Source organism: Homo sapiens, chromosome 2, assembly GCF_000001405.40.
Source record: "Homo sapiens chromosome 2, GRCh38.p14 Primary Assembly".
In the NCBI taxonomy this organism is placed as follows: domain Eukaryota; kingdom Metazoa; phylum Chordata; class Mammalia; order Primates; family Hominidae; genus Homo; species Homo sapiens.
Window position 1 is genome coordinate 21,349,519 of NC_000002.12, and position 21,008 is coordinate 21,370,526.

General features: G+C 42.1%; 1 long non-coding RNA gene and 1 pseudogene across 1 annotated transcript in view; one reads left to right on the plus strand and one right to left on the minus strand.

Moving 5' to 3' along the window:
* The window catches only part of LOC105374318 (uncharacterized), a 43,370-nt gene extending 35,398 nt beyond the window's left edge, over positions 1 to 7,972 (plus strand). Inside the window, exon 3 of the long non-coding RNA XR_939801.3 lies at positions 7,059 to 7,972. This is a non-coding gene — a long non-coding RNA (uncharacterized LOC105374318). The remainder of the gene's footprint in view (positions 1 to 7,058) is intronic.
* Positions 12,366 to 14,588, minus strand: NUTF2P8 (nuclear transport factor 2 pseudogene 8; annotated as a pseudogene).

The window sequence follows — 21,008 nt, forward strand, 5'->3', positions numbered from 1 at the left end:
ATGCTACAAAACGGCTGCTGTTTTCCCTCTACCCTCTGTCCAAAATTTCCTGAGAATCTCCCTTGTGCCTATTCTATCCAGACATGTACAATAAAGGGAACTCTGGGAAGTGTAGTTCAGCCTACCCAAGTAGATACATCACAAAGCCATTTTGCCTTCTTTTTTTTCTAAGCAGCAGAGTTCTTATTCTGATAACATTCACTGACTCTGCTGTAGGACTAGATATACCAGCACAAAAGTAGGCTGGTTTGTGAGAGATCATTCAGTCAAGGCATTGTACATAATTAATCTTAGTAGTTTGAGGGCAGAAAGAGTCAGTCATCATTTGCACAAATGAAGACCTTGTAATCTATGGAGGGGCCATTTCAATTGCTATTCTAATCACAGTAAGAATAAAGCAGAAGCCTGTAATCCCAGCACTTTGGGAGGCCGAGGCGGGCGGATCACGAGGTCAGGAGATCGAGACCATCCTGGCTAACACGGTGAAACCCCGTCTCTACTAAAAATACAAAAAATTAGCCGGGCGTGGTAGCGGGCGCCTGTAGTCCCAGCTACTCGGGAGGCTGAGGCAGGAGAATGGCGTGAACCCGGGAGGCGGAGCTTGCAGTGAGCCGAGATCGCGCCACGGCACTCCAGCCTGGGCGACAGAGCGAGACTCCGTCTCAAAAAAAAAAAAAAAAAAAAAAAAAAAAAAAGAATAAAGCAGAAATTATGTGACTTGTGCCATTTGATTTGGCTAACAGGTTAAGTTCCCCAAATCAGGGCACATAACCACTTAATTTTTTCCATAGAAAAGTGAATGGACATTTTTGATGACTTGGATACCTGCTTTTGAATCAAAACACATAGATTTTAAGTATTTGTCTCAAATATTCTTTCCTCAGAAGTCATTGACCATGCCTTTTCTTGAAGCCTAGTTATACAGAACTAAAGAATTTTCATAGGCATAAACAAGGAAGAATTTAAATTAATGTGTAAAATTGGGTATCTTAACTTAGGTACTCCACTGCAGTATGTAAATATCAAGGTAGCAAATATATAACTGGATAGTGTTAGGTATGAGACTGCAAAGCAAAATGATGTATGTGCTACTAGAATTCTTCAGAATGATGTGTAATCCAGTTTCAGATATAGGCTAAACAAATTCATGCATTTTTGAGTATTTCATAATACATTTTCTAACAAAAAATAAACCATTCATTTGATCCATCTGCAATTATTTTGGAGCACTATATGCACAGGAGACACTACTGCTGGAGCTGAAATGATGGTGATGAGAAAGATGTGTGGTATCTGTTGACAGGTAACTCAGTCTAATTGGGACAAATAAAACACAATACAAGACAAAAATAAGTTCCATTATTAGGAGTACCAGAAAGTGCTTTTGGGTACCACGAATGGGCAGATTCCTTCCAAATGAGAGAGCATCTATCTGAGTTGGACCTTGAAAGTCGGGTGGGTGAGGTTTTTTTCAGATGGAGTTGTGGGGAGGCACTCTATGCATTGTTTAATTTGACTTTGTCTGGTTTAAAAGGCCAGGTGAAGATAGAAGATATGAAATTTTAAAAGGGTACTTAACTCTTGATTTTTCAATTTATCCTTTCATTGCAATGATTGGGACTTAAAGTGTTTACAATTAAAGTTAATGAACGTTTTATTGCTCATGACAGTTCACAGCAAATTAGACTCTTGCTTTCTTCTCAAAATGGGAGAAGGCCCCAGGCAACCTCTCCCTGAAGCCAGAGCTGTGCAGTGCTAGGCTCTGCAGGACACTTTGTTGGGGGTGAAATTTCAAGCAGGGATACTGCAGGGAGGGATCTGCTACAAAATGCACAAAGATTACTTGGAAGCTGAATGCTGAAAACAACCTGGTGGAGCTAAGGGAACCGGAGACGTGTCGCTTCTGCCCTGGGGCACCTTGCAGATTCTGTGGATGTTGGCTTCACCCTATGATTTGGCACTGGAGGAGAGGTTGAACCCTAGAGTACCTGCCCTGACCTGACACTCCCTCCTCCTGGCCTCTGTCCCATCTCTGAGGATAAACTCTGCCCTTTAAAATTTTTTTTGTGGTTGGTAAAGATATGCAGTGTGTTTTTATTGACTTTTTAAGGGGACTTTCAACAATATTCTATTGTATATATCCTGGGGTGATGTAATACAGAGTAGGGTTGGGGCCCCTCCCTCTTTTTCTGGAGCAGTGTGGTAGTCCTAGCCCGGGGGCCTGTAGCTCTGTGTCACAGTCCCAGTAGGGCTGTGTTTTCTGGGCTCCCCAATCTGGCTTCAGTAGCCCCTTTTCTAAGATAGGACAGCTGCACCAGAACAAACAGTACTTCATGGAGGTGTCTCCTGGGTTCTGCAAACTCCCATCCCCAGCCCCCAACAGGAACAGCTTAGCTGTTTACATTTCCATATTAATTTTCATTTTTAAAATGATTTCCATGACTAAAACTGTTTTAAAACACCCGATTGAATGCTCTCAAAGGGTCCTATGACTCTCAAATTCGATGCTTACATTAATCACAAATCAACTATAGTGACTCCTAAAACCACATCTGCCCCATCGGACCATCTGCTGGACCTTCTCAACAGAATATTAACAGGACCATTTCTCTCCACACATGGCTCTACTTGTCCTCCACAAATAGATGCTGACATCTTTTCTGGCTGCCCGTCCTGTGTTTGTTCAGAATGAGGGCTGCATAGTAAGAACGGGTTGGGAAAGGAGTTCCCGCCCATGAAGAATGCACATAGGAGGCTTCAGCAGTGGTATTGAGGGAAGTGTATGTGGTGCTGGGCTCAATGTAACCACACCGAGCTAGTCGCTGTCTGTGCCCAGACCTACCTCTGGGTGCTCACTTCTGCTTCAGTCCCACATTCACAGCTTCCTGATCCAGATGCCTACTTGCACAGCTGTCCCACACTTGCCAATCTCTATAGCACATCTCACTGCAAAAAAAAAAAAAAAAAAAGTATTTCTTACTTTAAAGCTGGTTCTTCTTCTTGACTTCCTGGTCAGGTTAAAGGTCTCAGAGCCAGCTGTAACATCTCCCGTCTTCACCTCATGTACCTGTTTATCCAGTCCCTGGATCCCTTTTCGTGTCTTCTGGTTCACACCTCTCTTTTGCCTTTACCACTCCTCTTGTTGAGTTTCTAATCATTGCCCCACTACCATGAACATAGAACAGATATTCCTGACTCTATCATCCCGCCACTCCAATCCTTCAAGGAGGGGGCTTGAGACCAATGTTTCTGAAGAATCATGTAGAGTGTCAATATCTCCAGTCAAATTCATGTGGTTCTGCATTCAATTCACAGTCTTCACATTCAGAACCTCACTCCATCCTCCTCTGACCCCAATGGGGCTTCATCTGATCTTTATGAATAAGAATTATCTTACCATCAACTTACTGAAATACTTCCTCTCCCCTAAATCAGGGTTATTTCTGCCACCGTACTGTTCAAGTTGTTGTCTCTCTGGAACCTATCCCAGCTCATCCTCAAGGACCCATGCAAGCCTTGCCTTCTGTGTGAAACCTTCCTCAACAATCCCTAGTGAATTAGACTTCTCCCTACATCTCAGCCCCATCAGGCTCTTCCATTTGTCAGTGCACAGAATACTGTCAGGTTCTGCTTCTTAGTGTTTTGGGGTTTGTGTGTGTGTGTGTGTGTGTGTGTGTGGTTATCTTAACACAGCATTCCCAATCACAATGTGAATGGAGGAGAGGAACCTGGGAAAGGTTCTCTGGGACCCATTTCATGAGTTATCTGCCAAGTGCCCACTTGACCCCTAGAAATCTGAAAGTTAGAATAATTAGAAAATTAAATTAGAATAATTTATTATTTTATTAATATACTAATATATAATAAAAGTTGTAGAAATGTTGAACAGTGTCAGAACCCATGCAGCAACTGTGCTATATTTAAACTTTTACATTAATTGACCATGATAAATAGCTCCAACTGTGTTGGTTTTTTCTTTAGTAAGTACATTTTCTGAGAAAGTTGAGATCTGTAGCTGAATGACCCATTCTGGCATCATCCTAAAACTTATCATTTTGAGTTTCTTTTTAATTGGAGTAGGAAGTTATGGATGTAATATTTTTTAATGTTTTTTTATAAAATTCACACTTTGCTACTGTAATTTATATTTTCCTTGGTAACTGGTAAAAACATTTTAAGGGTCAGCCTAGAAGTAGCAGAATCAGTGGAAACACTTTTTCTAAACCTTTCTTCCTTGTGTCATTAATCACAAGAAACACACCTAGTAACCCAGACTGTCAGATTCACTCACAAAAGTTGCAATTTATCTCCAAACCATTCTTGCCCCCTGAACCTTGTAGCTGATTGGGTAATGAGTAATTACACACCTTCAGTTATTACTCTGACTTAGGATTTTTCAGCATCTATTTTCTGTCAGTAAATGGAGCTAAACTGCATGTATTTTGGCTTGAGTACACAATGAATCAGAATTAATGAAATGTCATATCCATTAAAGCAAGCTCAGAAAATTGCATGCAAATATGGATAAGAGGGCTCTTAGTTCTAACTTTGCAGCCACGAGCAAAACCAGAGTGGTCATTTCTCATTGATCTTTCTACACAATCTTCCCTCTCTGTGGTCATCCCCTAAGACTTGGCCTGTTCTGAGGCAGTGGAAAAGTACCAAGGCCTCCATGAAAAATACTCTGAAGAGAATTTCTAACTGCTGAGGACAGCTGTAGTCTTGACTGTGGAGTCCTGATAAGTAAGCAACAATGAGGAAGGGGCCCAGGTGGGGGAGGGCCCCAGGTGGGGGAGAACAATGAAGTTATTGTAAGAAACAGCTAATCACAAACAACCCACAGGCACAAGACCTAAGTCCACAAGTAGCCCCAGCTGCATGGCCTTGTTCTGTATGTTCTGGTCATCCCCCCAGCAAGCATGACCCTATAAAACTTCCCTCCAGCCCCTGCCTCTTTGGAGACTCTTCTCTGCTGTGCTGCCCATTGCAATCTTGTAACATATTTTCATACTTTCTCTAATAAAGCTGCCTTTCTTTACCTACACTCGTCTTGGTAAATTCCTTTACCACCCATGACACCAGCCCCAGCTGGTCATACCCAAGACATTGACGTACATCCTTCTTTTACTCAACCTCTGGGAAGCTCTCCTCTCTGTGGGGTGCTGTGTTCTGACATTGGCTCTGTTATTGCCTGCCATTGTGATGCTGAAGCTGAAGAAGGGATAACAAGCACAGGACTGCAGGCTGGCAGCAGGATTTGCTAGGTTATGTTTGAAGGGTCCATGTGATCTGTTTCCAATGCTTAACTCATTTGCCATGTCAACTTGTATGGCAAAATGTTTACTCTGCCATGTATTCTAGTGCATTGGTCTAAACATGGAACCAGTTTTCAATATAAACTGATGTTGGAGAGATGTCTCAGCAAAAGATAGAGAAGAGCAATGTGTTGTTCCCCTCAGCCCCTTCTGCTTTTCCAGTGCCTTATAGGTGATAATCAATGTGACAATGCCAATAGCTTGCTCAAACTGTTCCTGCTGCCTGCAGTTGGCTTCCCTGCCCACCCTTGTGTATCACAGCCATGGCTACATTAATAAATGGGTGGCAGCCCTTCAGCTCTATGGAAACTGAAAAATTACCCAAACAACTCAATACAGAGAATCATACGCCACCTCATCTTTGAGTAGCAGCCTCTGAATTCTTAATTTTGGCTGTACTCTGGAGGCTGGACCATCAGAGCTGAGTCATAGTGGCTAATAAATGCATGATCCTAGAAGACTCTCAATAATACCACTAGTTAGGGACTCTTCTTTTGTTGAATATCTGTTGCTACAACTTTATGGCAAAAAGTAATGCATCTTCTTTTGTTTAAATGATGGATGGCTACTACTGTTGATTCTTTCTTCAGCAAATTTGTAAAGTGAGAAGTAGAGCCACATGGTGCCGGAGAACATTAGGTCATATGCAGAGATAAGATTTCATTCCTGAACTGCTATATGGAATATAGGAAGCCAGGAGTGGAAAACTTCATTCATAAGTTCTCAGCACATTGTAAAAAACTCAAACAGACAACCTTCCCAGGTAGAAAAGGCTTAGCAGTTAAGTGGAGGTCACCTAGAGGCCAGCCTCTCAGGACAGGTCTTGATGCTATTCATTTCATGTTAGTGTGGATTCATGACTTTTGATTCTCTTCCAAAAGTGTCCAAGCTCTCAACCAGCAGGAAGACATAGAATTTGGGGGAAATGGGAATTTCTGGATCTGAAATAATTCTGGAAATCTTCCCCTCTCTCCTCCAAAGCTTCTAAGTTACCCCATTGCTCTTTTGTGACCCAATCCTCACAGAAAGTAAAGTGGGGATGCCTTTTAATGTCAGAACACCTTTTAATTCTGATTCTTATTGAGATGAGGACCGTGCACAAATAGAAAAGGGCAAGGATGTAGGAGAGAACCCAGGAGACTACAGGGGAGAAGTATTGAGAACCAGGGCTTAACTCTGGCCCTTGGCTCGTGAGAGGGTGTCAAGACCATAGGTGTTTGGGTCCCATTTGCTGTTTGACGTATTTGTAAAGCAAAGACAGAGAGCAAGGTGAATGATGTGGAAATACTTTTTAGATCTTTTGGAGCAGCTTCGACCTGAGAAATTAACCTGAGTGAACAATAGTTTATTGCTCTCTGTCACCTCAGAATCTTCCTCAACCCTCCTTACCCTGGGGGCAACTGAAGCATGAAGAAAACCTGCCACGGAAAGGCTGAGAGGCATTCCCGGGGTGGGGGTCCTCAGGAGGAGGTGTGAGGCAGGCATGGCTGGGGTTGGGCACTGGACCAGGACCTAGCTGGCCTGGTTTCCAGTTCTGACATCATCTGCACGTGTTACCTCCGGAAGATCATCACCTCCCACAAAACCTTTGTTTCACTATCTGAAAATGAAGGACAATGGATCAGGTGATCTTTAAGATTCTTCTTAGTCCCGGATCTGGTTCTATCCAGCTATTAAGCCAGTAAGGTTTTCTATTGCCTGTGCTTGCCAGAAACATATGCCTTTCTCTTTTCTGCCTCTCAGCCCTTCGTGGCCTTCCTCCTGAGGCTTCCTGACTTCCCACAGCTGCCCTGCTTTGTTCCCCGACACACCAGGACACAGCAGCCGGCAGGAGCCAGAGACCAATCAGTATTTGATAAAGATAAATCTGTGCTCAGAACTGGAACAGATGTTTAGCCAATTAGGAAATGAAACCCTCTGTTGAAGTAGTTCTGCTTCCATCTGAGGACTTTGGATTGAGCTGTTAAAAGGACTCATTTCTTCAAAAATGCTTTGCAGAATCTATCAAAGCAAGGTAAGAGGTTAGGTCATTTGCTCTAGATAACTCAGTTACAATGTGGCTTCAACACAATTACCATTCACAGATGTATAACATCACAAAATCTGAATGTTCTAGAATGGAAGGGACCTTAAGGCTGTTTTTCACACCTAGTGCAAAAATTCCTCTGCAACCTGGTTACTCAGAGTGTGGTACCTGGACAGCCTCAGCGTTATCTGGGAGCATTCTAGGAATGCAGAATACCAGCCCCCACCCTAGACCTGCTGATTCAGATCTCACATTTTAATAAGATGCAAAGGTGATTCACACACACATAAAAGTGTGAGAAACACCATTCTACAATATCCCTGATCAATGAACAGCGTGTCTTAGTTTAAACACATGCAGGCAAGGACGTAGTTTGCTCAATTGCAGGGTGTTCTATTTGGGGATACCTATAAACATCACAATGCACATTTTTATAATAATAAATCTAGTGAATATTTATTGACCTTGGACCATGTGACCTCTTCTCAAAGCTCAACAAGTATATGTTGCCTCATTTAATCCTCACAACAGCTATTTGAGGTAAATACTATTTGTTTTCACTCAATCCCCACAACAAATATATGAGGGGCTATTCTCTTCTTTCTCATTTTATGAATGAGAAAGCTGAGGCCAGAGAAACTGAGTGACTTGCAACAGGGCTGGGGAGTGGATTGTGAACTCTCACGTAAGTGGTTTGGCTCCAGAGCCCAGACATAACCAGTATGTTATATGCCTCTTTATAGTGAGCAGAAGTGCTCCTTTCTATTGTTTCTGTTCACCTGTCATCTAGAAATATGAATAAAATTCTATTTTTTCTATATGAAAACTTCAAATTATTTAAAACCAACTCTTATGATCACTCTCTTTAATATGTTCTTCATATGACTTAATTATATATCCTCACCACATTAGTCAAATCCTACTTTGTCACTAAAATGTGGCCTTCAGCATTGTATCTGAAACCTCAGCTATGTGATTTTGAGCAGGGCCAAGTAGTAAAATTATCTTCAACCTGTATTGAAACAGCATACTTTGAATAATGAGGCCCAAGTACTAATGAATACTTTCATCGTCACAGCATTGATTGATATTGAGCTCAATGTCTTTTTCACAAAGACTGCTATTAAGCCTAGTCTTTCTAAGTCTGTATTTGTGGAGATGGTTTTTGAACTCCGGAGGGTTTGCTTAAAGCAAACCTCTCATTAGCATCTTGTGCTTCTGCCTACGCTGAGCTCAAGTGATATCCCAGCACCATCTTCCAGTGTAGTGAGGGCTGTTAGCACCACCACTATCCAGGCTAGGGCTGAGTAGGGTAAAAACTGCTATCTGTTCTTCTTAAATTTCATCTTGTTAGCTGTGACTCATTATTCATACTGTCAAATCTTTTGAATTCTTGATTCTATCACTCAGCATTTTTGCTAGCTGGCCCACCCTTCTGTCATCTGAAAATTCGATCAACACACCTTCTGTCTTTATTAAGCAATTTGCAACTGAAAGTGCTGAATGGTCCAGTTGAAGGAAGTCCCTAGGATAGGACCTGCTCCCAGAGACCTCCCCTGAAGGCTGACTTCAGATTGTTAATCTGTTCTCTTGAACCAGACATTTAATCATCTTACCATTTTGTAGCTCTTCATACAGCTTCTATGTCTCCATTTCCTAAAGAGAGAGAATGATGGCCAACACCTCATTTTAAACCACCAATACCCTCCGGTAATGTGGCCCCGAATGATTATGGTGGAGGCAGCATTTGTTTAGTGGAAGGCACCTGGAATCAGTATTAGAGATAAGGTGGGTGTGAGCTCCAGCTTTGCGATCTAAATTGTGTACTCTGTAGTTAGGGCAGATCAGAGAGGAAACACTAAGAGTTCTACGTAATAGGTGATTTATTGTAGGAATTTGGATGTATGCGATTGTGGGAGCTGGTTACATATGAAACACTGTTAGTTCAGTGTATATTGTTAGAGCCTAAAGCAGTAGGGTGATCAGTCAGGAAGAAAAGATGGATATGAACTGGAGGAATACAAGGGCAAGCTAGGACTGGTGAGGATGTCCCAGAACCCACAGAACAGATTAGAATACACATCAGTCTCTCATTACTTCCATGGCTCCAGTTTTGATGATGCAGGCGATCTGTAGTAAAAGCTGGCTCCTTTATCACATAGAGAAATATGCCCTTGGTCCTGAAGGGAGAGATGCAGTGGGAGTTGGAGGTGCTATGGGCCTGGCCCCTGCCCCATACCAGCCAGGTGAGCCAGCAGGTCAGCAATGATGTGCATGACCTGCAACAGCTGCCCTGCACTGACCTTCTAAGCACATGAATATGTCTGCTGTTTCATTCTGCCTTTCAAATCTTGTGCAATCTGTCTCCTTTTGCTATAGTAACGGAAACTATGCAGGGAAGGGAATCTGGGAAACATAGTTTCAGTTTAGCTAAGTTGATATATACCTCTTTTAAACATACTTACCCTCCAAATGAAGATAATGGAAAAACTGTGCTTCAGCCTAATATAATGCAACTATCTCTTATACAACTAAAAACACATAATCCTTTTCCCAAAAAGTGGATACAAATTCCTTTTATTCATCTTTGGGTGATGTCTATTCTTCTTCTTGTTGAGTCACATTCCTTTTTGATATTTTATAACTTAGATTCTGAGATATAAAGTTAACCATAGCTTATGTTACTTGGTAGGGGAATGAATAGAAGAGGAAAAGAGAAAACATTTGGTTGTTATGTACCAAATCATATTCATCTTAAAATAAGAAAAAAGTATGAATAACTATTATCATCCTTGTTTCTGCAACTGACTACATGGTTTTAGCTGCTATTTATTACTACCTTCTTCCCCTACTCATTCCATATTTCCTTTGCCTCTACAAAGTACCTCAGCTGCTTGTGGTTCCTTATCAGATAGGCTGATTCAAAACTTCATTCCAAAAGGGGTTTGGGATATTAATAGTACTGCCTATAGTGGATTGTTGAAAGTTTCTATTGACTTTGATTGTAGGTCCTGGAGTACTAGGAGATGCTCCAGGGATTCTCCTGAATTGCATGTAAATGCCTCCTTGTCTCTAGTATGTAGTAGTAGAAACTCTATATCCTCTTAAAAGCATCAGTTATCCTAATTAGTACAGTGGCCTCCATCTTCACTGTTGAATTAGTGCCAGGAGGAACCCAAAGTGCCAGTATCTGTCAGCTTATAGTTTAAGTAAACATTGTTGTACCTATTGGTGGAAGCAGTCCTCTCTTTGGAATGGAGAGGGCCAAAGTTGGGGGTAAATCAAAACTTTCTCTTGTGGAATACTAGGAATGACAATAGGAGAAATCACTCCCACTTTCAAAACCCTTATCTCAGGATAAGGAATGAAACGGCTAAGGAAGAAACGGCACCATATACTGCTTGCTGATTTAAAGCACAATGCATGCCTGGAGAAATTTCAGAGATTGGTGCCACTACCAAAGACCTGAAGGAAGTAAGATGTGAGTTCTACCACATCTTTTTTTTTTTTTTTTTTTTTTTTTTTTGAGACGGAGTCTCCCTCTGTCACCCAGGCTCTGGAGTGCAGTGGCGCAAACTTGGCTCACTGCAAGCTCCGCCTCCCGGGTTCACGCCATTCTCCTGCCTCAGCCTCCCAAGTAGCTGGGACTACAGGTGCCCGCCACCACGCCCAGCTAATTTTTTGTACTTTTAGTAGAGACGGGGTTTCACTGTGTTAGCCAGGATGGTCTCGATCTCCTGACCTCGTGATCCACCTGCCTTGGCCTCCCAAACTGCTGGGATTACAGGCGTGAGCCACTGTACCTGGCCTACCTACCACATCTTTATTCAACTTGTCTATTTGGCTGGTGTAGAAGACAGATGGATCTTGGAGAATGACAGTGAATTATCACAAACACAATCTGATAGTGACTCCAATTGCAGCTGCTATTCCAGATGTGATTTCGTTGCTGAAGCAAATCAGCACATTCCCTGGCACCTGGTGTGCAGCTGTTGACCTGCCCTTTTCTTTATGCATCTTAGTACAGACCTTTAGTAGTTGTTTGGCTTTCATCTGGTAAGACCAACAATATACCTTTACTGTACTACCTCAGGCAACATCAACTCTCTAGCCATTTGTTATAATCTAGTTCTCAGGCAGATCATCCTAGTTCATTACATTGCTGATATCATAGTGTTTGAACCTCATGAGTGGATATTGCAATAATCTATGATGCATTGGTAAGAAACTTTTTTACCCAAAGGATGAGAAAAATACATCACTTGCAAGATGACTTCAGGTCATTAATCTACTCCAGGGCCAGGTGATGAATCATCTAAATACCTGGATAACACTTTCATGCAGCCTATCTCCATTTTCTCCAGGAAGGTGACATCTGGTCACTCTATTTAAAACCACCACCCTTATACCAGTTACACAGCCTTGATCTATTACAGTGAGGGCCATAGTAGTATAGTAGAAATAAATACATGTAGTCAACATAAGAATGAGCTAGGTTTGTACCATGGTTTTGCCACTTATGCCTAAATGTTTCCTTGGGCAGGTCAGTTTCTTCAACAAAAATCCAACTCACAGAGTTGATATGAAGACTATATGTGATACTATGTAGGATGGAGAATGAATTTACATCTATAGAGCCCTTTTATATTCAGACACTTTATGGATTGTGTGTGTTGAATCTATGTGCATTTTTATTACCTGTTAGCAGATGAGGGACAGAGGTTCTGCCAAGTGGTTTCACTTGCCCAGACTCGCACTCTGAGGAGGTGGTGGAAGAAGGATGTGAACTCAAGCTGTTTTGTTTGCAAACCAGCGTATTCTCTTCATTTGGCCTTTTCCCACTTTGCCATGGAAAAACGCAAACCCTAAAATACCAGCAGTGTATAAATACAGGTTCTGTGCTGTTCTTTGTGAATTCATGCTCAAGTTCACTGATCCTTCCTTCTCCAATTGCCTAGAAATTCTCTGTCTAGCCATCTGGGGACTCTATCTTTAAAAAGATCAGAGTGTGTTTTTCTTTTTTTTTTTAATTCTTATTAAAAAACCTTATGGTTTTATTGTATCATGAGACATTGAAATATCTGAAAAAAATCAATGTCTGGGTGGTGAGGCAGCTGCTTTCTCCTTCACTTCCTTGAGTAATTAGAGCAACTTGTCAGTAGATTTTTTTTTTTTTAAAAAAAGGACAAACCTTTGCATTACTTAAGCCTTTCTAAGGCATGTGCTAGTACAACACAAATTTCTCCAGTCCTATGCAAGTTGTCTAGCAACCAAACATCATGAACATGTCGGTGGCAGCAGTGCACCGTACCCACTCCCACAACTGCCCTGCTCATTTGTGTATGATATTTGGAGCAACTAGAGGAGTGTGAATAGTACTGGGAAGAGGCAGCAGGAGGAAACAGCACGAGTGCCTGGCTGGGAGGAGGCCAGCCCTTGTTGCGCAGGGCAAGCCTGAACATGTCATTGGTGCGAACCCACACCTTCTTGATGTTCTTTAATAGGAACATCTGGTGGAACCCTATGATGGAGTCTTCATCTGCCTTAAGTTGGCCTACAACCATGCTGAGGATGCAGCTATCTGGTATAGGCCTGTTACTGGGAAGTGCAGGAATCCTTGTTTCTTAGTCTTACTTGGAAGAAAAAATTCTGCCAAGAGAAAATTTAGCACTCCCACCTCCAAAAGAAAGATAATTTATTGAAGGAAAATAGAGAGCAGAGAGTTTATTCAGAGAGACAGGATACTCTGAAAGACGAGGCAGAGTGGGCTGCTGAAAGAGAATGAGCCAGTAGTCTCTGAGAGTTCTGCACTCAATTTTTATGGTACCAGATTTTTTCTTGAAGTTCCCACCTCTGTTGTAAGTCTCCGCCTTTTTTCTTTGTTTAATTTTCCTGCTTCTGCCTTAAGTCCCCCGTTTTCCCATCTAGTTCCCACCCCAGGCTTGTGGGACCTTTCCTTACTGAAGCAGCCTCATCGTCTAGGGTAACACCTGAGGTTCTTTGTCTCATGGCCATGGAGATCAAGGATGCAGACACAAAAAGAATGAGGTTAAGAGCAGAAATTTAATAGGCATAAGAAAGAGGAGAGCTCTGCTATAGAGAGGGGTCCTGGGAAAATGAGTTGTTCATCCACAGTGAAATGCAGGGGTTTTTATACGTGAGCTAGTGGGGAGGCAGTGTCTGATCTACATAGGGTGCAAAAAACAAGAGGGCCATCTGCATAGGGTGTGAATCTCGACACCCCCCACCCCAATCTTTTATTATGCAGGTGGGTTCTCTGTCTGAGCATCTCCATGTTGCCTAGTTCTTTCTTATTGTACACATGCTAACAAAAAAGGGAAGGCGGACCCCTATGGTGGACATGCCTGGCCCCCAGGTAGCCCTGTTGATGTAGCTGCAGGCCTCCCCTTGTGCAAGCTTCTAGCTTCCTTATCTATGTTTGCAGCTCCATCTTTCAGGCTGCTCTTTGCTAGAAAAGAAGTAATGTCTAGGGCTGCTTTTCTGTTAGAAGGGAAGTTCTGCCGAGGACTCTTTCCCCCTCACTATCTGCCTAAATAATTTCTTTCTATCTCCTTTATCGTTACTATTAGTTGGTGCACATGCATGGGCCCAGTTTTGGATAGGAATTCTACTGAATGGCTGCGTTGCTCATTACTGCCACCCCAGGAAGGTTGTATAGCATTCAAATCTTATGTATTCTGCCTGCATATCTCTTAGGAATTTTTCTGTTGCCTTCTTTTTGCCTTATCAGCATGTAGCTAGCTACATTCTGACCAGTTAACTGCAGAGTGAGTGATTACTGGGCATCTTAAGGGGTGTTCCTTTCTGCAGAGGTATTTCTCCTCCTCTCTGCTCATATCTAGCATGCATGTTTTGGATGGTCCCTGGGGTGTGAGATTTTCCAGACCTCCCTTTTCTCAGGGGCTCTTCCTTCCTGCTCATTTCTAGCTATCTGCCTACTCTACCAGGCTGATGACCTTGCACCATGATGCTGTGCTGGATTTTCTGGAACAGAAGGGAAGGCTAGTTTTCTCCTGGAACAGCTGTCCTTCCCATGTAAGGCGTGACATGTCAATGTAAATTGCACCTACTTGGGTTGTATTGTAATCAAATAACTGGTAGTAATGTTGAATGAAGCTGGGTCCAATCTGCTCCCAAATTGGCTTGCCTCATATTCTGGAGCATCACTGGCCTCACTGAGACTCAAGGGGCTGGCACAGGGGCAGCAGCAACACAGTGCGCTCTGCGACCACTGTCCCTTTTCCCTTGCCTTCCCTTGCCCGCTCCACTGCACTCTTGTTTTTGCTTGAAATTTTATTTTCCCATTTTGAAAATTGCCTTTCTATATATTTAGCAGAAACTATATTTAGTGTTCAAAGCACTTGAACGTATGTTCTCTCATTTAACAATCTGTGGAATGGAGGAACTTGTCTTTATTTTATACGCAAGAAACTGTGGCTTGGGTAGGTTAAGAATGTATCAAAGATTACGAAACTGGTAAATGGAGAAGCCTCCTCCCTCTAGCTTCAGGGATTTTTTTGCACTCTCTGTCAGTGCTGCAAGAGCCTCTAAATATCTGTTATCTCTGGGAAGCCAGTTTTCTCTTTTGCCTTTTATACCAGACATAGCTTCCTTTAGAAATATATGGGCGTATTGTAACTCTCATAGAAGTTCTTTCATCAGTGGGCTACAGAAGGTCCTGAAATTTCTCAGGAGAACTTAATTCCAAAATTCTGTTAGAAGGAACACCCCACCAAAAGCCAGAACCATCAAAACTGAACAAGCGTCTAGTTTATCAGGCATGTGGTCTTCTCTCAGCATATCTTATACTGAGAGTAATAGGATAATAAAAATGTTCTCGATATGCACCGCCAGCTTACTTTATTTCAGATATTATTAAACTAGTCTTCTCTCAAACCTCCTATTAAAAAAACCCACAAAACTCTTGAAAGAAGAATGATAAATGCTTTAAAAGTCCATCATTGAGCCAATAAGAAAGTTACATTCATATGGCCCAAAAAGCATGAAAGCAGAAGTAAGAGGGTGAGAAAATTACAGAATGTAACTTTTTCACTGAGGCCACCTACTGCTTCCTGGGATGAGCTTCAGATTTTAAGGTTGGGATAAGAAGTCAATACAAAGAGTTCACCTTGTGTGGTGGGTCTAATAAGAGCCCATTGTGTAAAAGCCTATAACCTAAGAAGAGGTTCTAAAACACTACAGAAATCCTTACCAATTCTATTTATGTTTTTTGTTTCCCCAACATTAGGTTGGCCCATGTCAGAATATTGATTCTTGACTATTATTGACCTATAAGTGTGGCAGTTTCATGTGATTTAATGTAATAGAATGTCATTGAGATTTTTGCTCCTGGCTGTATCTCCAATGCCTAGAAGAGCATCAGGTACATAGTAGGTACTGAATAAACATTTGTTGATGTGATGAATGAATAAAATCAAATTGGAAACCAATCATCAAAAACAAGTAGAATAACTGCGTATGTGAGTTAAATCACATTTAAACAACCCATAACAAAAGAAGAATTGATAATAAAAATGAAAGGAAATCTAAGTTTAATATCTGCTAGAAACAGAAGGAAAAAATAGGAAGCAGGTGGTGGTCTCTTGGAGTTGCCTTTAGTGAGATTTGACCAGATAACTGGGTAAACACATTGACTTCTAGGCTCCCCACTGTACTCTTCTTAGCTGTTATTTGCCAGCTTGAAATTTCTGATTTTCATTACCATCTGAATAACACAGATATTAAAAAATAAAAAACTCGTCTTTTCAATGTTTATAACCAAATGTAATTTCCTTGAGTAATGTACAAGTTCATATTCATAAGAGAAATATGGAATCTCAATTAAAAGTCCTATGATGTGGAGCTTTGAAGCCCTCCTTTCAAGAGTTATCCAAGATTATGTGACGTTTCCTCACCACCCCGTCTCTCTTTCATATTTAATCAGATACTGAGATTAGAGATGCAATTTCCTTTTTGTGTCTAGGGAGGTTTATCAGAATGCTGCACACTATTGCTTCCACTCTGCTTCTCCTCATCCCCAGGTTATAGGACCAAAGTGTCTATCTTACAGTTATTCATTGGAAATTATTTACTTTCTTGATTTAATGAACAAAAATACTGTGAAGTCACATTTTGTGTGGTGGTCAAGTTCAAAAGTCAACAAGTAAGGTGAAAATCATATATCATTAAAACTTCACATTAAAACCTTTCTGCTACCCATAAATTAAAATATGCAAAGTTTTAAATGTACAATCTTTAGTATTCCTGTGTACTGGATGAGAACCACTGAATTAACTAAAGACATAAATAAGAGAGAAGCAGATCAGTAGATGTACAGCTATTCAAATCCTCTGTCTTAAACAAGACTATGAAATTCATGGGGAGGACCATCGGGTAGGTGGAGACTCCTAAAGTACTTTTTGTTTTAATGGTATGCCTCTACCTGTATTACATGTGCATGTATTCATTCATATTGAGGATGACATATTGCATTTTATGTAGGAGTCAGGGCCTAACCCTAGGGCTGAGGATCATGCATCTGCCTGCCTTTCTTTTTCTTTCTTTCTTTCTTTCTTTCTTTCTTTCTTTCTTTCTTTCTTTCTTTCTTTCTTTCTTTCTTTTCTTTCTTTCTTTCTTTCTTTTTCCTTCCTTCCTTCCTTCCTTCCTTCCTTCCTTCCTTCCTTCCTTCCTTCCTTCCTTCCTTCCCTCTTTCTTTCTTCTTTTTTTTTTTTTCCTGAGATGGAGTCTCCCTCTGTCGTCCACGCTGGAGTGCAGTGGCATGATCTCGGCTCACCGCAAACTCCGCGTCCCGGGTTCAAGAGATTCTTTTGCTTCAGCCTCCCGAGTAGCTGGGACTACAAGTGAACGCCACCACGTCCAGCTAATTTTTGTATTTTTTGTAGAGATGGGGTTTTGCCCTGTTGGCCAGGCTGGTCTCAAACTCCTGACCTCAAGTGATCCACCTGCCTCGGTCTCCCAAAGTGCTGGGATTACAGGCAAGAGCCACCATGCCCAGCTATGCATTTCTCTTATATAAACAAAAGGGATCATTGGGTACCAAATAGAGAATCAAGTTTTGGGCTAAATTGTTTACATACTGAACCCGCACAGCCAGAATGCCTCCTTCCTAGAAAAAGTGTGGTTGTGAGAGAGGTGAGTGGGCCTATTAGGTCCTGGGAGAGAGTGAGAACTTCAGCCTGTGGTTGTATACCAGATCTGCTGTGAGGATGGCAACCTACTGTAACAAAGGTCTGTTCAGCCCAGACATGCGTGAGTGAGATTTTCAGCTGGGCCTGGGATTAGAGTCTAGGTGCTTTAGGTAATGCCAGATCTGTTAGAGATATTTTCTTCCAGAGTTCCCCCTTGTTCTCCACTGCTTCTGGGGCAGGAAGACTAAGAAGAGACCCAGAGGTAATTTTACCATGAAGATAATAAAGCTACAGTATAGGGTTCTGCAATTGCATGAGTCCCTTTCAATATATGGGGAGGAGTCTTAGCAATATGATCAAATGATCATTTTTTCAAAATTTGTGACATTAAGATATTTTAAATGCAGTCAGCTAAGGCCACTCTTTCTTTCTCCCCAACTTCTCCAGACAAATCCTATTAGTTTGTTTTTGGTGGAGTAGTTGTAGACATTTCTGGGATCCAGCTAAGGGGAGAGTTGCATTGGAATTACAGTGAGTTGGGGTTTTGTGATTCACACATAAGTCACTTCCTGGCAGAGGTAAGTTGTAGCTGACTGTCCTGCTGCATGAATGGCTTCCAGGATGCTCTTGCCACCTGCTGAGATGACCTGCCTGGTGCTGGCAGGAGGATGTGAGGCCAGAAGCTATGCTGCCATGTGAATATGTCTTACACAGCCCGGCACTGGATGCCGACGGGCAGTGGAGGAGAAACCTGAAGAGAAAAAGACTAAGTTATGGTTCCTTCCCTGCCTTGAAAATGATGTCATAAAATTATTGGCATGTACAGCTGAAAATGTAGGAAATGTACCAAAAAAAGTATGTTAGGCAGTTAATTAATACAAATATTGTGTGCTTTATCTTCATTTTATGATGTTTGTGGTATTTGTCAGTTTTCTAAAATTTGCGTGCTATGATATACTTTGTCTTTTCTTTATAAGTACATATTCACTTTTATGCAAAATTTTGTTTTTGTAACTGCATTCATTTCTAAAATGGGCTGTCAAAATTGTACATAAACTTCAGGTCTCACTATAGCTGCATCTCTGCAGGCTGGACTCTTGGCCAAAGAATGTTTCCATACCCTACCAAGGCTTTTCTTGCTTGCTTAGGACATTCATCCACTGCAGGGACATATGTCTCATGAGCTTCAGAGGTCACCAATCTTTTAAAGGCTACCTGAAATTGAGGACAGGTTGCAGTGCCCAGAGCTGGGTAGCATATGAAGTCTGGCCTCTGATCTTTGACAGTAAACTCTCTCTTTTTATAGGGAAGAACAAAGAATGGCCAGTGTGCAGACCATGAACCAGAAAGAGGAGGCTGCTTTCCTTCTTATTTGGGAGAAAAAAGACAAATGAATACTTTGCTTTCATTCCCAGTTGCCCCTGGCTTGTGTGACCCAGAGGGTGGCAAAATCAGATAGAAGTTCTTTCCCTAGACAGAGGTGATCTTCAAAGCCATTGTTAGAGAGAAGTACTGCTAGTCTAGGAGGCAGAAGACTCAAGTTCTTATTCATCAAGCTACTTCTGCCTCCCTGTGATTTACATTCCTGTTCTGTAAAATGGGAATTTTAGTCCCTTGCTTGATTGTGTTAAAGGACGTATTACACAATGCTAGCTACAGAGCCACGGAAACGTGAAATTCACTAAGTCCGTGTAAGAGATTTGATGAGCAGAAGAAAGTATTAAGGATAAAAATCAATACTGTTATTTAGCTAAACTTTCAGAAAATATTTTCCTGGACTAGCCGTGGGCTACAATAGGGGGGTCCTGATTAATTATGGTCAGGGAGGCTCAGAAGATCTGGAGTTCTATAATAATGCAGTCTAATTCATGGGGGCTAATTTGTTCAAGCCTAGCCATGTTTGTCAGTATAATTGAAAGGAGAATCATCAGATTCCAAGTGCCCCAGCCAGTAGCAGACCCAGGGGACTGTGCTCTCGTTCTGCCTGGAGACCTCGCTAGGCTACTTGTTTCCAGGCTGGCAGGAAGGGAGGAAACCTTCTTTCTGGATTTTGGGCTGCCTATTAATCAACATCACTTTCCTCATTAATATAAAGGCATCCTCAGCTGCACATTTTGAGGAGCTTCCAACAATTCATTTTTCCTCTGGTTACAGAAAAATCAGCCTTCATAATGAGGAGGAAAGCTGTGTTTTTCACAGAGCTAAATATTAATTCTTTCAGTTTGTCATTTACATATCCCTCAAATTAGGTTTACTTTTTCAGTTTACATGACTGAAGCCCCACAGCTAGAAGATATACAATTAACACTCTTTCTCTGGGTAGGGTCAGAGGGCCTGCTTTGTGGGCTCAGGTTTCTCTGAAGACAGTCGCTGAAGGTACATGAGAAATGGAAATTTAATTGGCATAACTAGGAGGATCTCCTTGAAGGCTGAGAAGATTTTCCTCGGCCGGTTGTTTCCAGACAAACAATGTTGGCCAGGGAGTGATTCCACTTTCATGTCTCTTCCCTCCACAGAGGGGAAGCGCCAGCCACTGCCTGTATGCCTTTAGGGACAGGCCCTACTCTTCTCTGCCAAGATCAAGGAGTCCAGTGGCCACTCAGGGGGTATTGTCTCTTTGCCAGCGCTAGTGGTCTGCATGTGTCAACTAGATCTTCACCAAGGTTTATAGATGCCTTGCTCAAAAACTTGCCTTGATGTTAAAACAGATGGACTGAGTACTTTCTCCTGCAAGAAGCCTGTATGGATGTCTCAATACCTCTTCTCTTCCTCCCTCTCTTCCTCCCTCCCACTATTCCCTCCTTCCCTCCATTACCTCCTCCCCTTCTTCCCCTCCCTTCCTATCTCCTTTCTTCTCTGCTTCCCTCCCTCTCTTCCTCCCTCACTTCATTTCCTTGTTCCCTTCTTCTGCCTCCTTACCTCCCCGCTCCCTATCTTCTTTCTTCCTTCCCTCCATTCCTTCTTCCCTTCCTCCCCCTCCTTCCCTCCCTCTCTTCCTCCCTATCTTCTTTCCTCCCTCCCTTTCCATTCCTCTCTTTCCCTCCTTGCCTTTCATGTCTAGTGTCTATGTGCTAGATGCTGCTAGATGTTGGAAATACTATGATGACAAAGACGCAGGCTGGTGAGGGAGACAGAAACAGGCATTCTTAAGGCAGTCTGATAACCATCTCCACAGAGGAGAGGACAGGGTTCTGTGGCGCAAAGAGGAGCCAGGCCAGCGGGATGGGTCTTACCTCTGAAATCTCTCAGCACCCACTGTTGACTGTCGATACCTGACACTGGATTTTCCAGTACTTCTTGCCCTATTATTTATCTGAAAGGTGTCTGTGATTCTGGTCTTAGACAGGCCAAATTAAATATTCATGAGTTCAATTTTCTCACCTATAAAACAGAAATAGCAAAACCTGAGTTCAGTCATGCCATGCACTTAGAATTCCAACCACAGCAAATGCCTCCTGAGCCATGAATGGTATCAAATAGGGGTTAGGCTGCTATTTG